This window comes from Homo sapiens, chromosome 12 (assembly GCF_000001405.40).
Source record: "Homo sapiens chromosome 12, GRCh38.p14 Primary Assembly".
Taxonomy (NCBI): Eukaryota; Metazoa; Chordata; class Mammalia; order Primates; family Hominidae; genus Homo; species Homo sapiens.
Window position 1 is genome coordinate 8,139,087 of NC_000012.12, and position 17,270 is coordinate 8,156,356.

General features: G+C 39.9%; 1 pseudogene, besides 2 other annotated features; it reads right to left on the reverse strand.

The window, feature by feature from the left end:
- Positions 1,382-3,632, reverse strand: GCSHP4 (GCSH pseudogene 4; annotated as a pseudogene).
- Positions 2,687-3,188: an enhancer, noted in NCBI's record as "OCT4-NANOG hESC enhancer chr12:8294369-8294870 (GRCh37/hg19 assembly coordinates)". NCBI's record gives its function as "activates a minimal SCP1, AML or CMV promoter by ChIP-STARR-seq in primed H9 embryonic stem cells {active_cell/tissue: H9 hESC(primed)}" and the evidence as "EXISTENCE:reporter gene assay evidence [ECO:0000049][PMID:30033119]".
- Positions 4,807-5,306: an enhancer, noted in NCBI's record as "H3K27ac hESC enhancer chr12:8296489-8296988 (GRCh37/hg19 assembly coordinates)". NCBI's record gives its function as "activates a minimal SCP1, AML or CMV promoter by ChIP-STARR-seq in primed H9 embryonic stem cells {active_cell/tissue: H9 hESC(primed)}" and the evidence as "EXISTENCE:reporter gene assay evidence [ECO:0000049][PMID:30033119]".

The following is a 17,270-nucleotide window of genomic DNA, read 5'->3' on the forward strand; positions in this document are numbered from 1 at the left end:
CTCTGTTTCTATGGATTGACTTTTTAAGATTCTACATATAAGTAGAATTGTACAGTATTTGTCATTCTCTGTATGACTTATTATATTTCACTTAGTATAATGCCCTCCAGATTCATCCATGTTGTGCAAATGACAGGATTTCCTTTTTTTATGGCTGAATACTACTCCATTTTATATACATAGTACATTTTCTTTATCCTTTCATCCATTGGCCAATACTTAAGTTGTTTCCGTGTCTTCACTATTGTGAATAATGATCCAATAAGCATGGAAGTGCAGATATCTGTTCTAGATAATGATTTCATTTTCTTTTGGTATATACCCAGAAGTAGGATTGCTGGATCATATGATAGTTTTATTTATATTTATTTATTTATTTATTTAGAGATGGAGTCTCATTCTGTCGGCAGGCTGGAGTAAAATGGCATGATCTTGGCTCACTGCAACCTCTGCCTCCTGGGTTCAAGCGATTCTCCTGCCTCAGCCTCTCAAGTAGCTGGGATACAGGTGAACGCCACCATGCCCAGCCAATTTTTGTATTTTTAGTAGAGACGGGGTTTCAGCATGTTGGCCAGGATGGTCTCGATCTCTTGACCTCATGATCCACCTGCCTCTGTCTCCCAAAGTGCTGGGATTACAGGCGTGAGCCACCACGCCCCGCCAGATAGTTTTATTTTTAGTCTTTTGAGGAACTTCCATACTGTTTTCCATAATAGCTGTACTAATTTATATCCCCACCAACAGAGCACAAAGGTTCCTTTTATCTATATCCTTACCAATACTTGTCAGTTTTTGTCTTTTTAATAATAGCTCTTCTAACAGCTGTGTGGGTGGTATCTCATTGCAGTTTTGATTTGAATTTCCCTAATGATTAGTCATGTTGAACATATTTTCATGTACCTGTTGGCCATTTGTATGTTTTCTTTGGAAAAATGTCTATTCAGTTTCTTTGCCCATTTGTAAATTGAATTATTTGTTTTTTTTGTTGCTGTTGAGTTGTACAAATTTCTTACATCAAGCTTGTCCAACCTGTAGCCTGCAGGCCACATGTGGCCCAGGATGGCTTTGAATGCAGCCCAACACAAATTTGTAAACTTCCTTAAAATGTTATGAGATTTTTTAGCTCATTAGCTGTCGTTAATGTTAGTGTACTTTATGTGTGGCCCAAGACAATTCTTCCAATGTGGCCCAGAGAAGCTAAAGGATTGGACACCCCTGTCTTACATATTTTGGATATTAACCCCTTGTCAGATATATAGTTTGCAAATATTTTCTCCCATTCTGTAGGCTACTCTTTCATTTTTTGATTGTTTCCACTGCCGTGCAGAAGCTTTTTATTTTGATGCAATCCTATTTGTCTATTTCTGTTTTTCTTTCCCAGTTTTCTTTTTTTAAATGAAGTTGAATATTTTATTTCTTATTTTGCTTCAAAGCTGTTGCTTCACTGTATAAAAATAGCACCAGCAAATGTACTATCTTGGGAAATTAAGATAGTGTTGTTCTTCATCTGACACTGTATGTACATCCACCAACAAAAAGTTCTCTACTCCCAATTACTTCCAATGGAAAGATGATTAAGTATTTTGACCCAAATCCAGATATTGATGTAAGCAAGTTACAATATTATATTAGGTTTAAGACAACAATGTTATCCTTGAATTACATAATATTAATAACTAGGTTTACCATAGATAATTTCATGAATTCTGAATATTAGAGCCTAGTCTAAAAATCATAGGGTACTGTGAAAAAGAAGCATATTGTATTTATCTGCAATCATTAGAAAATTTTTTTGTTTGTTTTTTGAGATAGAGTCTTGCTCTGTCACCCAGGCTGGAGTGCAGTGGCACGATCTCAGCTCGCTGCAACCTCTGCCTCCCGGGTTCAAGTGATTCTCCTGCCTCAGACTCCTGAGTAGCTGGGATTACAGGCATGTGCCACCATACCCGGCTAATTTTTGTATTTTCAGTAGAGATAGGGTTTCAGCATGTTGGCCAGGCTGGTCTCAAACTCCTGCCCTCAGGTGATCTGCCTGCCTTGGCCTCCCAAAGTGCTGGGATTACAGATGTGAGTTGTAGTTCATCTAGTTCTGAAGGGTTACTGAGTGTCATCGTGATCAGTCAATCGTCTTCATAACAAGATTTGTGTTGCGGGAAGTTAGGGACCCCAAACGGAGGGACTGGCTGGAGCCAAGGCAGAACATAAATTGTGAAGATTTCATGGACATTTATCAGTTCCCCAAATTAATACTTTTATAATTTCTTATGCCTGCCTTTACTGCAATCTCTGAACATAGATTGTGAAGATTTCATGGACATTTATCAGTTCCCCAAATTAATACTTTTATAATTTCTTATGTCTGTCTTTACTTTAACCTCTTAATCACGTTATCTTCGTAAGCTGAGAATGTACGTCACCTCAGGACCACTATTGTACAAATTGATTGTAAAACGTGTGTGTTTGAACAATATGAAATCAGTGCACCTTGAAAAAGAACAGAATAACAGCAATTTTCAGGGAACAAGGGAAGATAACCATAAGGTCTGACTCCCTGCGGGGTCCGGCAGAATAGAGCCATATTTTTCTTCTTGCAGGGAGCCTATAAACAGACGTGTGAGTAGGAGAGATATTGCTGAATTCTTTTCCCGGCAAGGAATATTAATAATTAATACCCTGGGGAAGGAATGCATTCCTGGGGGGAGGTCTATAAACAGCCTCCCTGGGAGTGTCTTACGCGGTTGAGATAAGGACTGAAATATACCCTGGTCTCCTGAAGTACCCTCAGGCTGACTAGGATGGGAAATTCCAGCCTGGTAAATTCTAGTCAGACTGGTTCTCTGCTCTCGAACCCTGTTTCCTGTTAAGATGTTTATCAAGACAATACGTGCACAGTGGGACATAGACCCTCATCAGCACAGCGGGGCATAGACCCTCATCAGTAATTCTAATTTTGCCCTTGCCTTGCGATCTTTATTGCCCTTTGAAGCATGTGATCTCTGTGACCTACTCCCTGTATGTACACCCCCTCCCCTTTTAAAATCCCTAATAAAAACTTGCTGGTTTTGCGGCTCGGGGTCATCACAGTCCTACCAATATGTGATGTTACACCCAGAGGCCAGCTGTAAAATTTCTCTCTTTGTACTCTTTCTCTTTATTTCTCAGACTGGCCAACACTTAAGGAAAATAGAAAAGAACCTATGTTGAAATACTGGGAGCTGGTTCCCCGATGGATTTGTTGACAACTCTGGATTTTCTTCAAGGGATTCATTAATTTCAGTTACTTCTGATAAAGGAGAAAACAGTTCATTAGTAGCTTTCATACTTTCCAAAGCACCAAACTCATCTTGTTTGCCCCAATTTTGTCCCAACTTCAGGCCAACTACAGTAAACAACAGCTCCCAAAGACTCCTGTGCAAATTGCTGATTCCCACTGTTCCAATACCATTTTCTGTTATTATGTGTTGACGTTTCTCTGTGAATTTATGCAGTGAAAGCAGAACGTGTCTGGAAGGCACCCACCCTCAGCCACCAGAGCCTCTGCAGGCAGGGCCCAGCAGGTGCTGAGGGTGCATGCAGACTACAGACCACTGCCTGCAAGCTCCACGCCACTCTCAGTGCCATGTTCACAGGAGCTTTTCTTCTTATATCTATTAAAAAAATCATTCCCCAGACAAATGGCAAGTGGCTTTTTTCCTGTTTTTCTTTCTATGAATTTTATGGTTTTAGGCCTTACATTTAAGTCTTTGATACATTTTAAATTAATTTTCATGAGTGGTGGAAGATAAGGTTTCAGTTTCATTCTTTTGAATGTGGAGATCCAGTTTTTCCAACACCATTTACTGAGGAAACTGTCCTTTCTTATCTTGTTTTCATCTTGGCACCCCTGTCAAATATTAGTTGACCATATACCTGGGAGTTTATTTTAAAAATTATTACTAAATAATCACTTAAAGTAGTTAACTATTTTTAATTATTAAGAAATAACTTTATTACATAATTATTTTAAATAGTTATTATTTTAAAAATTTCCAAAACTGTCAAAAAGAATAAACTACTTAGGAATAAATTTAACCAAAGGGGTGAAAAATCAGTACACTGAAAACTATAAAACATCGATGAAGGAAATTTAAGACGCAAAGCAATGAAAAGATATCCCATGTTTATGTGTTGAAATACTTAAATGGAGTAATATTAGCAAGCTAACCTACACTAGAAGCCTTTAGTGCTCATCCCCACACAAGGACAAAAGCATGACTGAAAAACTACATCTTGATGAGAACAGCTAAAAGAGGGCACCAGAGTACAGCAAAGGAGAAGCAGAAACCCTGTAGAGCATAGAAACCCAGGATGGTCTCATAGAGAATGGAAGGAAACACCTTGCCTCTGCCACCAGATGGGATCAGGTCAGAACCAGGGAGGATTTCTCACTGCAGAAAAAAGATAAGCAAGAGGCCCTCAGCAGCCTCTATTGCCACATTGGACATCTATAGTCCTCACCACTGGAAACTCCTGCAGTTGTCACAGGTGCATAGCCCACCTGAGGGAGCTTCTTGGAGTTCACATGACTGTGCTCCTTCCAGAGGAGTTGACACTGTGCCCCATTCATCACGGCTGATGGGGCTGCTGTACTGCAGCATCTTGGACCTGGAACCACTGCTGGAGTGTGTCCTGCTCTACATGTGAGAGGCTATGGCACACTTCTGTCTCTGAGACTTCATTGCCACTGAACCACCCCTGCTTGGTGGAATACCATCCCTGAGCTGAGGTGCTGCTACACCCTACCCTGTGGGACTAACCTGTGGCAGAGTGGCATTATTTACCTCCCAGTTGCTGCTGTGCCCTGCTCCTAGGGGCTTGAGCTGAAGCAGCACACTGCCTCCCAGGGAGATAGTGTGTTGGCTGCCCAAAGCACTTGCAACCCTCTGTGCCTGAGCTGAAATGGCAGCCTGTCTCCTGGGGAAGTGGTATCTTGGCTGCCCAGAGGAATCATGCTCCTGAGCCTACTCTGAAATGGCATTCTGCCTCCTAGGGAATTAATGCCTTGGTCACCCAGAGCAGCCATGACCCCTGGGCCAGTACTGAAGCAATATATTGCCTCTTGAGGAATTGATATTTTGGCTGAGACATGCATAGTCATCACTGATGTTGACTGCAGCCGAAGAAGCTGCACAGAGGCTATGCCACTGCATCTATTGGGAAGTAGAGCCACCATATCCTTCCCAATGGGTACACTAAGACCCATCTGCAGGTGAATGCCTTTCCTATTAAAGCCACCCTGTAATATTCAGAGGGGGTGAACGATCCACCAGACATGCAGATGTCAAAGCAGGGACACAAGAAACATGAAAAAGCAAGAAAACATGATACCACCAAAGAAACACAATAATTCTGTAGTAACTAACCCCAAAGAGCAGACTAAGCAGACAGCCTACAGAATGGGAGAAAACATTTGCCAACTATGCATCTTACAAAGGTCTAATATGCATAATCTATAAGGAACTTAATTCAACAAGCAAAAAACAATTCAACAAGCAAAAAACAATCCCACAAAAATGGCAAAGAACATGAACAGACACTTCTCAAAAGAAGATATGCATGTGGTCAAAAAATACAAGAAAAAATGCCCATCATCACTAATCATTAGAGAAATGCAAATCAAGACCACAGTGAGATACCATCTCATGCCAATCAGAACAGCTGTTACTAAAAAGACAAAAAATAACTGATGTTGACGAGGCTGTGGAGAAAAGGAAACATTCTACTGGTGAAAATGTAAATTAGTTCAGCCTCTGTAGAAAGCAGTTTGTAGATTTCTCAAAGAACTTAAAACTATGATTTAACTCAGTAACCCCATTACTGAGTTATATACCCAAGAGAAAATAAATCGTTCTATCATAAAGTCACATGCACTTGTATGTTCATTGCAGCACTATTCACAATAGCATAAACATGGAATCAACCTAGATGCCCATCATCCGTGGACTGGATTTTTAAAAATGTGGTACGTATACACCATGGGGTACTACACGGCCAGAAAAATGAAATCGTGTCCTTTTCAGCAACATGGATGCAGCTGGAGGCTATTATCCTAAGTGAATTAACACAGGAACAAAACACTAAATTCTGCAGGTTTTTACTTATAAGTAGGAGTGAAACACAGTACACACTGATATAAAGATGAGAACAAGAGACACTGAAGACTACCAGAGGGGGGAGATTGGGAGGGCAGCAGGGGTTGAAAACATACCTATTGGGTACTATGCTCGCTACTGGGGTAACGAGATCATTCGTACAAAAAAACCTAAGCAATACCCAATTCACTTATGTAACAAACCTGCACATGTACCTTGGAACCTAAAATAAAAGTCGAAAACAGAAAAAAAAAGAACAAATTACAATAAAAAAGAGAGAATTAAGTCATGGCCGTTGCAGCAACAAAGATGCAGGTGGAGGCCATTATCCTAGTGATTAATTCAGGAACAGAAAACCAAATACCTCACGTCAGTTCTTTGCTGACAATGTGATCTTATACTTAGAAAATTCTGAAGACTCCATCAAGAGGGGAGCAGCCAAAATGGCAGAATTGAAACAACTCTGCGGCTTCCACCAAGAAGGACGAAAATGGCGAATGAATTCTACATCTTCAATTGCTGTACCAAGGTTCTCTCACTGGGACTAACTAGCAAGTTGGTGCGATCCATGGAGAGCGAGGAAAAGCAGGGTGGAGTGAGGGCCCATCCGGCAGCTGCACGGGGCAAAGGGAGCTCCTTCCCCCAGCCAAGGGAGGAGGTGAGGGATTGTGCTACCCCTCCCTGAAAACCACACTTTTCCCAGGGATCCTTGCAACTAGCTGGTCAGGAGGTCCCCTTGTGAGCCCATGCCACCAGGGCCTTGGGTCGCAAACACAGAGCTGTGCAGACTCACGGTGGCTGCTCAGATGGGTGGCTGCTGGAGCAGGCACTGAGACACAGGAGTTTTTGCATACTCCAGTTCTGGGAATTCCAGTGAGGCAAGAGATCTGTCTACTCCCATGGGAAAGGGCTAAAGCCAGGGAGCCAAGCAGCCTCGCTCAGCAGGCCCTATTCTCATGGAAACCGCGGAAGTCACAAGCTAAAACCCACTGGCTTGGAATCCCTCCCGGCCAGTGCAGCAGGCTGGAGACTGCCTAAGAAGACGGAGTTCTGCAGGAGGAGGGGCAGCTGCCATCACTGCGGCTCCAGTTGGCCGTTTTCCTCTGCCACCCCTCCCAGCGAGACTGGGCGGTTTGGACAGGGAGCAATTCCCTACAGCGCAGCACAGTGACTAGGACAGTTCGTGGCCAGACTGCTTCGTTAAGCGGGACATCAATCCAGTCCAACTCACCAGGCGGGGCCTCCTTGTGGGAATTTCAGCATCCCCAGCCAGGGGTTTATGGACAGAACACTGATATCCCTGAGAGGAACTCCTAGGAGGAGGGGCGGTTGTGGTATCATGGATCAACAGTCTTAGTCTTTTCTGCCTCCTGGCTCTGGAGAATCAGGACAGTCTGGACGAGGAGGATTCCTCCCAGTTTAGCACACACGCTCCACCAAGAGGCAGCCAGACTGCTTATTTAAGTGGGTCCCTGATCCTGCTCCTCCTGACTAGGTGAAATGTCCCAACAGGAGTCTCCAGACACCTCCTACAGGAGCATTCTGGCTGGCATGGGGTCAGTGTTCCTCTGGGACAGAGCTCCCAGAGGAAGGAGCAGACTGCCATCTTTGCTGTTCTGCAGCCTCTACTGGTGACATCTCCAGGGGTGGGAGGGAACCAGGTGGATAGGGTCTGGAGTGGACCCCCAGGAAATCATAGCAGCCGTGGGAAAGAGGGGCATGACTGCTAAAAGAAAAACAAACAGAAAGCAACAACAACAACATTAACAAAAAAGACCCCACAAAACCCTCATCCAAAGATCAGCAGCCTCAAAGATCAAAGGTAGATATACCTATGAAAATGAGAAAGAATCAATGCAAAAGTGCTAAAAACTCAAAAAACCAGAGTGTCTAAATGATCGCAACATGTCTCCAGCAAGGGCTCAGAACTGAGCTGAGGCTGAGATGAATGAATTGACAGAAACGGGCTTCAGAAGATGGGTAATAATGAACTTGACTGAGCTAAAGGAGTATGTTCTAATTCGTTGCAAAGAAGCTAATAATGATAAAACATTACAGGAGCTGTTAACCAAAATAACCAGTTTAGAGAGGAACACAAATGACTCAATGGAGCTGAAAAACACAACATGAGAACTTCACAATGCAAACACAAGTATCAATAGCTGTATAGAACAAGTGGATGAAAGGATATCAGAACTTGAAGACAATTCTGTGGAAATAAGGCAGGTAGACAAGGTTAGAGAAAAAAGGATGAAAAGAAACAAACAAAACCTCCGACAACTATGGGATTATGTTAAAAGACTGAACCTACGACTGATAGGGATACCCGAAAGACGCAGGGAGAATGAAACAAAGTTGGAAAACACACTTCAGGATATCATCCAGGAGAACTTCCCTTACCTAACAAGACAGGCCAACATGCAAATTCAGGAAATACAGAGGAACCCAGTAAGATACTCCACAAGAAGATCAACCCAAAGACACATAATCATCAGATTCTCCAAGGTAGAAATGAAGGAAAATATGTTAAGGGTAGCCAGAGAGAAAGGCCAAGTCACCTATAAAGGGAAGCCCATCAGACTAACAGCAGACCTCTCAATAGAAATCCTAGAAGCCAGGAGAGATTGGGGGCCAATATTCAACATTATTAAAGAAAACAATTTTGAACTGAGAATTTCATATTCAGCAAAACCAAGCTTTATAAATGAAGGAGAAATAAAATCCTTTTCAGACAAGTAAATGCTGAGGAAATTCATCACCACCAGGCCTGCCTTGCGAGAGATCCTGAAGGAAGCACTAAACATGGAAAGGAAAAAGCATTACCAGCCACTACAAAAACACATTGAAGTACACAGACCAATGATCCTATGAAGCAACTACATAAACAAGTCTGCAAAATAACCAGCTAACATCATGATGATAGGATGAAATTCACACATAACAATATTAACTTTAAATGTAAATGGGCCAAATGACCCAATTAAAAGACACAGAATGGCAAGCTAGATAAAGAGTGAAGATCCATTGGTGTGCTGTATTCAACAGAACCATCTAATATGCAAAGACACACATAGACTCAAAATAAAAGGATGGAGAAAAATTTACCAAGCAAATGGGAAACAGAAAAAAGCAGGGATTCTAATCTTAGTTTCTGACAAAACAGACTTTAAACCAACAAAAGTCAAAAGAGACAAAGAAGGGCATTACATAATAGTAAAGGGGTCAATTCAACAAGAAGAGTTAACTATCCTAAACATATATGCACCCAATACAGAGCATCCAGATTAATAAAACAAGTTCTTAGATACCTACAAAGAGACTTAGACTCCCACACAATAGTAGTGGGAGACTTTAACCCTCCACTGTCAATATTAGACAGAACAAGGCAGAAATTTAACAAAGATATTCAGGATTTGAACTCAGCTCTGGATCAGGTGGACCTGATAGATGTCTACAGAACTCTCCATCCCAAAACAACAGAATATACATTCTTCTCAGCGCCACATGGCACTTACTGTAAAATTGATCACATAATTGGAAGTAAATCACCCCTCAGAAAATGCAAAAGAACTGAAATAGTAACAGTCTCTCAGACCACAGCACAAATTAGAACTAAAGATTAAGAAACTCACTCAAAACCACACAACTACATGGAAATTGAACAACCTGCTCCTGAATGACTCTTGGGTAAATAATGACATTAAGGCAGAAATCAAAAAGTTCTTCGAACTTTTTGTGTCCAAGTGTTCTCATTATTCAATTCCCACCTATGAGTGAGAACATGTGGTGTTTGGTTTTCCGTCCTTGTGATAGTTTGCTCAGAAGGATGGTTTCCAGCTGCATCCATGTCCATGCAAAGGACATGAACTCATCCTTTTTTTATGGCTGCATAGTATTCCATGGTGTATATGTGCCACATTTTCTTAATCCAGTCTATCACTGATGGACATTTGGGTTGGTTCCAAGTCTTTGCTATTGTGAATAGTGCCACAATAAACATACGTGTGCATGTGTCTTTATAGTAGCATGATTTATAATGCTTTGGGTATATACCCAGTAATGGGATGGCTGGGTCAAATGGTATTTCTAGTTCTGGATCCTTGAGGAATTGCCACACTGTCTTCTACAATGTTTGTACTAGTTTACTCTCCCACCAACAGTGTAAAAGTGTTCCTATTTCTCCATATCCTCTCCAGCACCTGTTGTTTCCTGACTTTTTAATAATTGCCATTCTAATTGGTGTGAGATGGTATCTCACTGTGGCTTTGATTCGCATTTCTCTGATGACCAGTGATGATGAGCTTTTTGTCATATGTTTGTTGGATGCATAAATGTCTCCTTTTGAGAAGTGTCTGTTCATATCCTTTGCCCACTTATTGATGGGGTTGTTTGTTTTTTTCTTGTAAGTTTGTTTAAGTTCTTTGTAGATTCTGGATATTAGTCCTTTGTCAGATGGATAGATTGCAAAAATTTTCTCCCATTCTGTAGGTTGCCTGTTCACTCTGATGGTGGTTTCTTTTGCTGTGCAGAAGCTCTTTAGCTTAATGAGATCCCATTTGTCAATTTTGTCTTTTGTTGCCATTGCTTTTGGTGTTTTAGTCATGAAGTCCTTGCCCATGCCTATGTCCTGAATGGTATTGCCTAGGTTTTCCTCAGGGTTTTTATGGTTTTAGGTCTTACATTTAAGTCTTTAATCCATCTTGAGTTAATTTTTGTATAAGATGTAAGGAAGGGGTCCAGTTTCAGTTTTCTGCATATGGCTAGCCAGTTTCCCAACACCATTTATTAAATAAGGAATCCTTTCCCCATTTCTTGTTTTTGTCCGGTTCATCAAAGATCAGATGGTTATAGATATGTGATGTTATTTCTGAGGCCTCTGTTCTGTTCCATTGGTCTATATATCTATTTTGGTGCCAGTATCATGCTGTTTCAGTTACTGTAGTCTTGTAGTATAGTTTGAAGTCAGGCAGCGTGATGCCTCCAGCTTTGTTCTTTTTGCTTAGGATTGTCTTGGCTATGTGGGCTCGTTTTTTGTTCCATATGAAATTTAAAGTAGTTTTTTTCCAATTCTGTGAAGAAAGTCAGTGGTAGCTTGATGGGGATAGCACTGAATCTATAAATTACCTTGGGCAATATGACCATTTTCACAATATTGATTCCTCCTATCCATGAGCTTGGAATGTTTTTACATTTGTTTGTGTCCTCTCTTATTTTCTTGAGCAGTGGTTTATAGTTCTCCTTGAAGAGGTCCTTCACATCCCTTGTAAGTTGTATTCCTAGGTATTTTATCCTCTTTGTAGCAATTGTGAATGGGAGTTCATTCATGATTTGGCTCTCTGTTTGTGTTATTGGTGTATAGGAATGCTTGTGATTTTTGCACATTGATTTTGTATCCTGAGACTCTGTTGAAGTTGCTTATCAGCTTAAGGAGATTTTGGGCTGTAACGGTGGTGTTTTCTAAATGTACAGTCATGTCATCTGCAAACAGAGACAATTTGACTTCCCTTTTCCTATCTGAATACCTTTTATTTCTTTCTCTTGCCTGACTACCCTGGCTAGAACTTCTAATACTGTGTTAAATAGGAGTGGTGAGAGAGGGCATCCTTGTGTTGTGCCGGTTTTCATAGGGAATGCTTCCAGCTTTTGCCCATTCAGTATGACATTGGCTGTGGGTTTTTCATAAATAGCTCTTATTATTTTGAGATACATTCCATCAATGCCTAGTTTATTGAGAGTTTTTAGAATGAAGTTGTGTTGAATTTTGTTGAAAGCCTTTTCTGCATATATTGAGATAATCATCTGGTTTTTGTCTTTGGTTCTGTTTATGTGATGGATCACGTTTATTGATTTGCATATGTTGAACCAGCCTTGCATCCTAGGGATGAAGCCAACTTGATTGTGTGGATAAGCTTTTTGATGTGCTGCTGGATTTGGTTTGCCAGTATTTTACTGAGGATTTTCACATCGATGTTCATCAGGGATATTGGCCTGAAATTTTCTTTTCTTATTGTGTTTCTGCCAGGTTTTGGCATCAGGATGATGCTAGCCTAGTAAAATGAGTTAGGGAGGATTCCCTCTTTTTCTGTTGTTTGGAATAGTTTCAGAAGGAATGGTAGTAGCTCCTCCTTGTACCTTTGGTAGAATTCGGCTGTGAATCCATCTGGTTGTGGACTTTTTTTGGTTGGTAGACTATTAATTACTGCCTCACTTTCAGAACTTGTTATTGGTCTATTCAGGAATTTGACTGCTTCCTGGTTTAGACTTGGGAATGTGTATGTGTCCAGGAGTCTATCCATTTCTTATAGATTTTCTAGTTTATTCATGTAGAGGTGTTTATAGTATTCTCTCATAGTAGTTTGTATTTCTGTGGGATCAGTGGTGATATCCCCTTTACCAATTTTTATTGTGTCTATTTGATTCCTCTCTTTTCTTCTTTATTAGTCTGGCTAGCAGTCTATTTTGTTGATCTTTTCAAAAAGCCAGCTCCTGGATTCAATTATTTTTTTGAAGGGTTTTTCGTGTCTCTGTCTCCTTCAGTTCTGCTCTGATCTTAGTTATTTTTTGTCTTCTGCTACCTTTTGAATTTGTTTGCTCTTGCTTCTCTAATTCTTTTAATTGTGATGTTAGGGTGTCGATTTTAGACCTATCCTGCTTTCTCTTGTGGGCATTTAGGGCTATAAATTTCCCTCTACACACTGCTTTAAATGTGTCCCAGAGATTCTGGTACGTTGTGTTTTTGTTCTCATTGGTTTCAAAGAACTTCTGTATTTCTGCCTTCATTTTGTTGTTTATCCAGTAGTCATTCAGGAGCAGGTTGTTCAGTTTCCATGTAATTATGTGGTTTTGAGTGAGTTTCTTAATCCTGAGTTCTAATTTGATTGCACTGTGGTCTGAGAGACTGTTCGTTATGATTTCCATCCTTTTGCATTTGCTGAGGAGTGTTTTACTTCCAATTATGTGGTCAATTTTAGAATAAGTGTGATGTGGTGCTGAGAAGAATGTATATTCTATTGATTTGAGGTGGAGAGTTCTGTAGACGTCTATTAGGTTTGCTTGGTCCAGAGCTGAGTTCAAGTCCTGTATATCCTTGTTAATTTTCTGTCTCATTGATCTGACTAATATTGACAGTGGGGTGTTGAAGTCTCTCAGTATTATTGTATGGGAGTCTAAATCTCTCTGTAGGTCTCTAACAACTTGCTTTATGAATCTGGGTGCTCCTGTATTGGGTGCATATATATTTAGGATAGTTAGCTCTTCTTGTTGCATTGATCCCTTTACCATTATGTAATGCCCTTTTTTGTCCTATAAATCTTTGTTGATTTAAAGTCTGTTTTATCAGACACTAGGATTTTAACCCCTGCTTTTTTTTTTGCTTTCCATTTGCTTGGTAAATATTCTTCCATCCCTTTATTTTGAACCTATGTTTGTCTTTGCACGTGAGATGGGTCTCCTGAATACAGCACACCAATAGGTCTTGACTTTTCATCCAATTTGCCAGTCTGTGTCTTTTAATTGGGACATTCAGCCCATTTACATTTAAAGTTAACATTGTCATGTGTAAATTTGATCCTGTCATTATGATGCTAGTTGGTTATTTTGCACATTATTTGATGCAGTTTCTTCATAGTGTTGATGGTCTTTACATTTTGGTATGTTTTTGCAGTGGCTGGTACCGGCTTTTCCTTTCCATATTCAGTGCTTTCTTAGTAGCTCTCGTAAGACAGGACTGGTAGTGACAAAATCCTTTATCATTTGCAAGTGTGGAAAGATTTTATTTCTCCTTTGCTTGTGAAACTTAGGTTGGCTGGATATGATATTCCACGTTGAAAATTCTTTTCTTTAGAAATGTTGAATATTGGCCCTCACTCTCTTCTGCTTTGTAGGTTTCTGCAGAGAGATCTGCTGTTATTCTGATGGGCTTCCCTTTGTGGGTAACCTGACCTTTCTCTCTGACTGCTCTTAACATTTTTTCTTTCATTTCAACCTTTATGAATCTGACAAATATCTCTCTTGGGGTTGCTCTTCTTGCAGAGTATCTTTGTGGTGTTCTCTGTATTTCCTGAATTTGAATGTTGGCCTGCCTTGTTAGGTTGGGGAAGTTCTCCTGGATAATATCCTGAAGTAGTTTTCCAACTTAGTTCCATTCTCCCCATCACTTTCAGGTATACCAATCAAACATAGGTTTGGTCTTTTCACATAATCCCATATTTCTTGGAGGCTTTTTTTATTCCTTTGCATTCTTTTTTCTCTAATCTTGTGTTCACACTTTATTTTATTAAGTTGACCTTCAATCTCTGATATCCTTTTTTTCCACTTGATAGATTTGGCTATTGATACTTGCGTATGCTTCACGAAGTTCTCGTGCTGTATTTTTCAGCTCCATTTAGTCATTTATATTCTGGCTTTGTGGAGCTGTGATGGGCTTCACCCAGTTCCAAATTCCTGGTGGCTTTGTTTACATTGTGAGGGGAAAACTGCGTACTCAAGCCTCAGTAATGGCAGACACCCTTTTCCCCCTCAGTGAAGCTCAAGCATCCCAGGTCAACTTCAGACTGCTGTGCTGGCAGGTTGAATTTCAAGCCAGTGGATCTTAGCTTGCTAGGCTCCATGGGGTTGGGACCCACTGATGAGACCAATTGGCTCTCTGGCTTCAGCCCCATTTCCAAGGGAGTGAATGGTTCTGTCTTGCTGGCATTCCAGGTGCCACTGGGGTATAAAAACAAAACAAAACAAAATAAAACAAAACCCAAAGACTTCTGCAGCTACCTTGGTGTCTGCCCAAATGGCTGCCCAGTTTTGCACTCGAAACCCAGGGTCCTGGTGGTGTAGGCACCTGAGGGAATCTCCTGGTCTGTGGGTTGTGAATACCATGGGAAAAGCATAGTATCTGGGCCTGATAGCACTGTTCTTCATGGCACAGTCCCTCATGGCTACACCCGGCTAGGGGAGGGACTTCCCCGATCCCTGTGCTTCCTGGGTGAGGCAACACCCCACCCTGCTTCTGCTCACCCTCCACAGGCTGCACCCACTGTCTAACTAGTCCCAATGAGATGAGCCAGGTGCCTCAGTTGGAAATGCAGAAATCACCCGCCTTCTCTGTTGGTCTCACTGGGAGCTGCAGACCAGAGCTGTTACTATTCAGCTCTCTCTTGTGTTTCTTCTTAAGACATTAACTTATTAACACAACTTCGAATGACTACTTATCATTAAGAAAAGTATATAGAAATAGCAATAGATTTTTGTGATATTGAATATTTGTTTATATTTTGAAGGCATATAAACAAATTATCTTTATGCCATTTAAATGCTTGTTTTTTGCATGATCAACCATGATAATCAAAAAGAGAAACTTCACATAAAACATCATGAGAATTATTTGAACATATTTGGAGAGTCAACATTCTTTAAATTTTTGAATGTTCTTTTGCTTGTATTTTTGTCAAGATAAAGAATGAGATTTGAGCTTCAAAGAAACCCACACAGGTGGTTCCTGTCTGCCTCACTTTGGAGTTGTACATGCAGTGATTCTAGAAGAATAACCACAGAGTGGAAATGAGAACTGTTTTTCTTTTTAGTTACAGGGAGGAGATTAAAAGTAAAACCAAGAATGGAAGATTAGGAATTGATGTTAAATCTAAGACTGATTTTTTTTTAAAGTAAACAAATGTACAAAGTGGAAGAATTGTAAAGTTAGATAATCTTAGGACTGAAATAGAGATTGAAACATGATAATAGGTTAGAAAATGATGAAATTAGGAAAATAAGTCACACTTAAGGGCAACTGAGAGGAGAAGAAAAACTAACAAATTTGGGAGTGGAAAAATTGAAGAAAATAGTAAAAATTGGGGAAAGTTAGGGTATCAAAGGGAGGATGCTCTTGAAGGAAAAAGATAATAGTAAGCTGAGACTGCTTTGTATTGCCTAAGTTTGTATTTGGCCATTTGATTACAGGATGTTTCTAGGATTCTTCTAGCTTAAATTTTCCCCAGTATTATTAATCTTAGGTTATTAGTCATCATTTTCTATACTCCAGACTCCTAAGTAACTGGTCTCCCAAGCCTTTTGACTGAGAAAAGTATAAACCTCTGCTTTTGGTCTTGCATATTTGATAGAAGGAGCTTGTAGACCCAAGAGAAGCCTCAGAGAGTATCCCTGTGGTTTCCACCCAACTTCTCAGTGGCTGTTTCATTGTAGTTGACTTTGTAAATTCTTACTTGAAATGGAACTATCTTTTCATCACTTATGATATAGCTTTTTAAACAAATGTCCCTCAAAATATTTCTCTTTTTCTTAACATGCCAATCTCTAATTTTTCTACCTTTAAAAAAAAACAGATTTCAAATATGTATTATAGACTTGATTATTTTTCTTCTTTGACCTTAAAAGTACTAAAATATGCTTTTTGATAATTGGCTCTCATTTTTAGTTTATTTGCCTGAGTCTAGCTGTATTTTCCCAATTTTGGTTCTGAACTCATCCATGCATGTGGTACTCACCAAACAAATTGCTACTACCAGTTCTAGGGTTGCCAGTGCTTAAATGGATCAAAAAGTCATACTCAAAGTAATTAGCATCTTCCATAATTATAATATCTAGACTAGTGTCTTTAATCTTAATGTGAGAGTTTTTTATACTTTTAGAGAAAAATGTGTTCAAAGAATAATTTCATCAAGGAATATGGCAGTGAGATATATCTTTTGTTTCCTGCACCACCAAATTAATATCTAAGGTTTGCTATTGTGACAGGCTTTAAAGATCTCCCATTTCTCTGCTTTATTATTTTTCTGATTTAAAAAATAGGTCTACTTTCTGATATGGTGATAAAAAACATATAATAAGAGTCTGTGGGAGAGTAACCTAAGGTGCTATCTTATGTAAATTGGAAACATGACGATTTAGATAAATAAAAAAATTTTTTGGATGTTAAAAAAAGAATATCACAGACTTTAGGATATTAGAAAGAAACAGAATTGTCACCCAAGTTAGTTCCAATTTCATTTTTCAAGATCAAGTGCTAGAGAGAATTGAGTTTAAGAATAAATCAGTAATCAAGGGGAAGTAGATAGACTAAGAAAAATGAATAGTAATTAAATTGGGTTGAGTCTTCACAAATCACAAAAAAATGAACTAAAGGAGTAA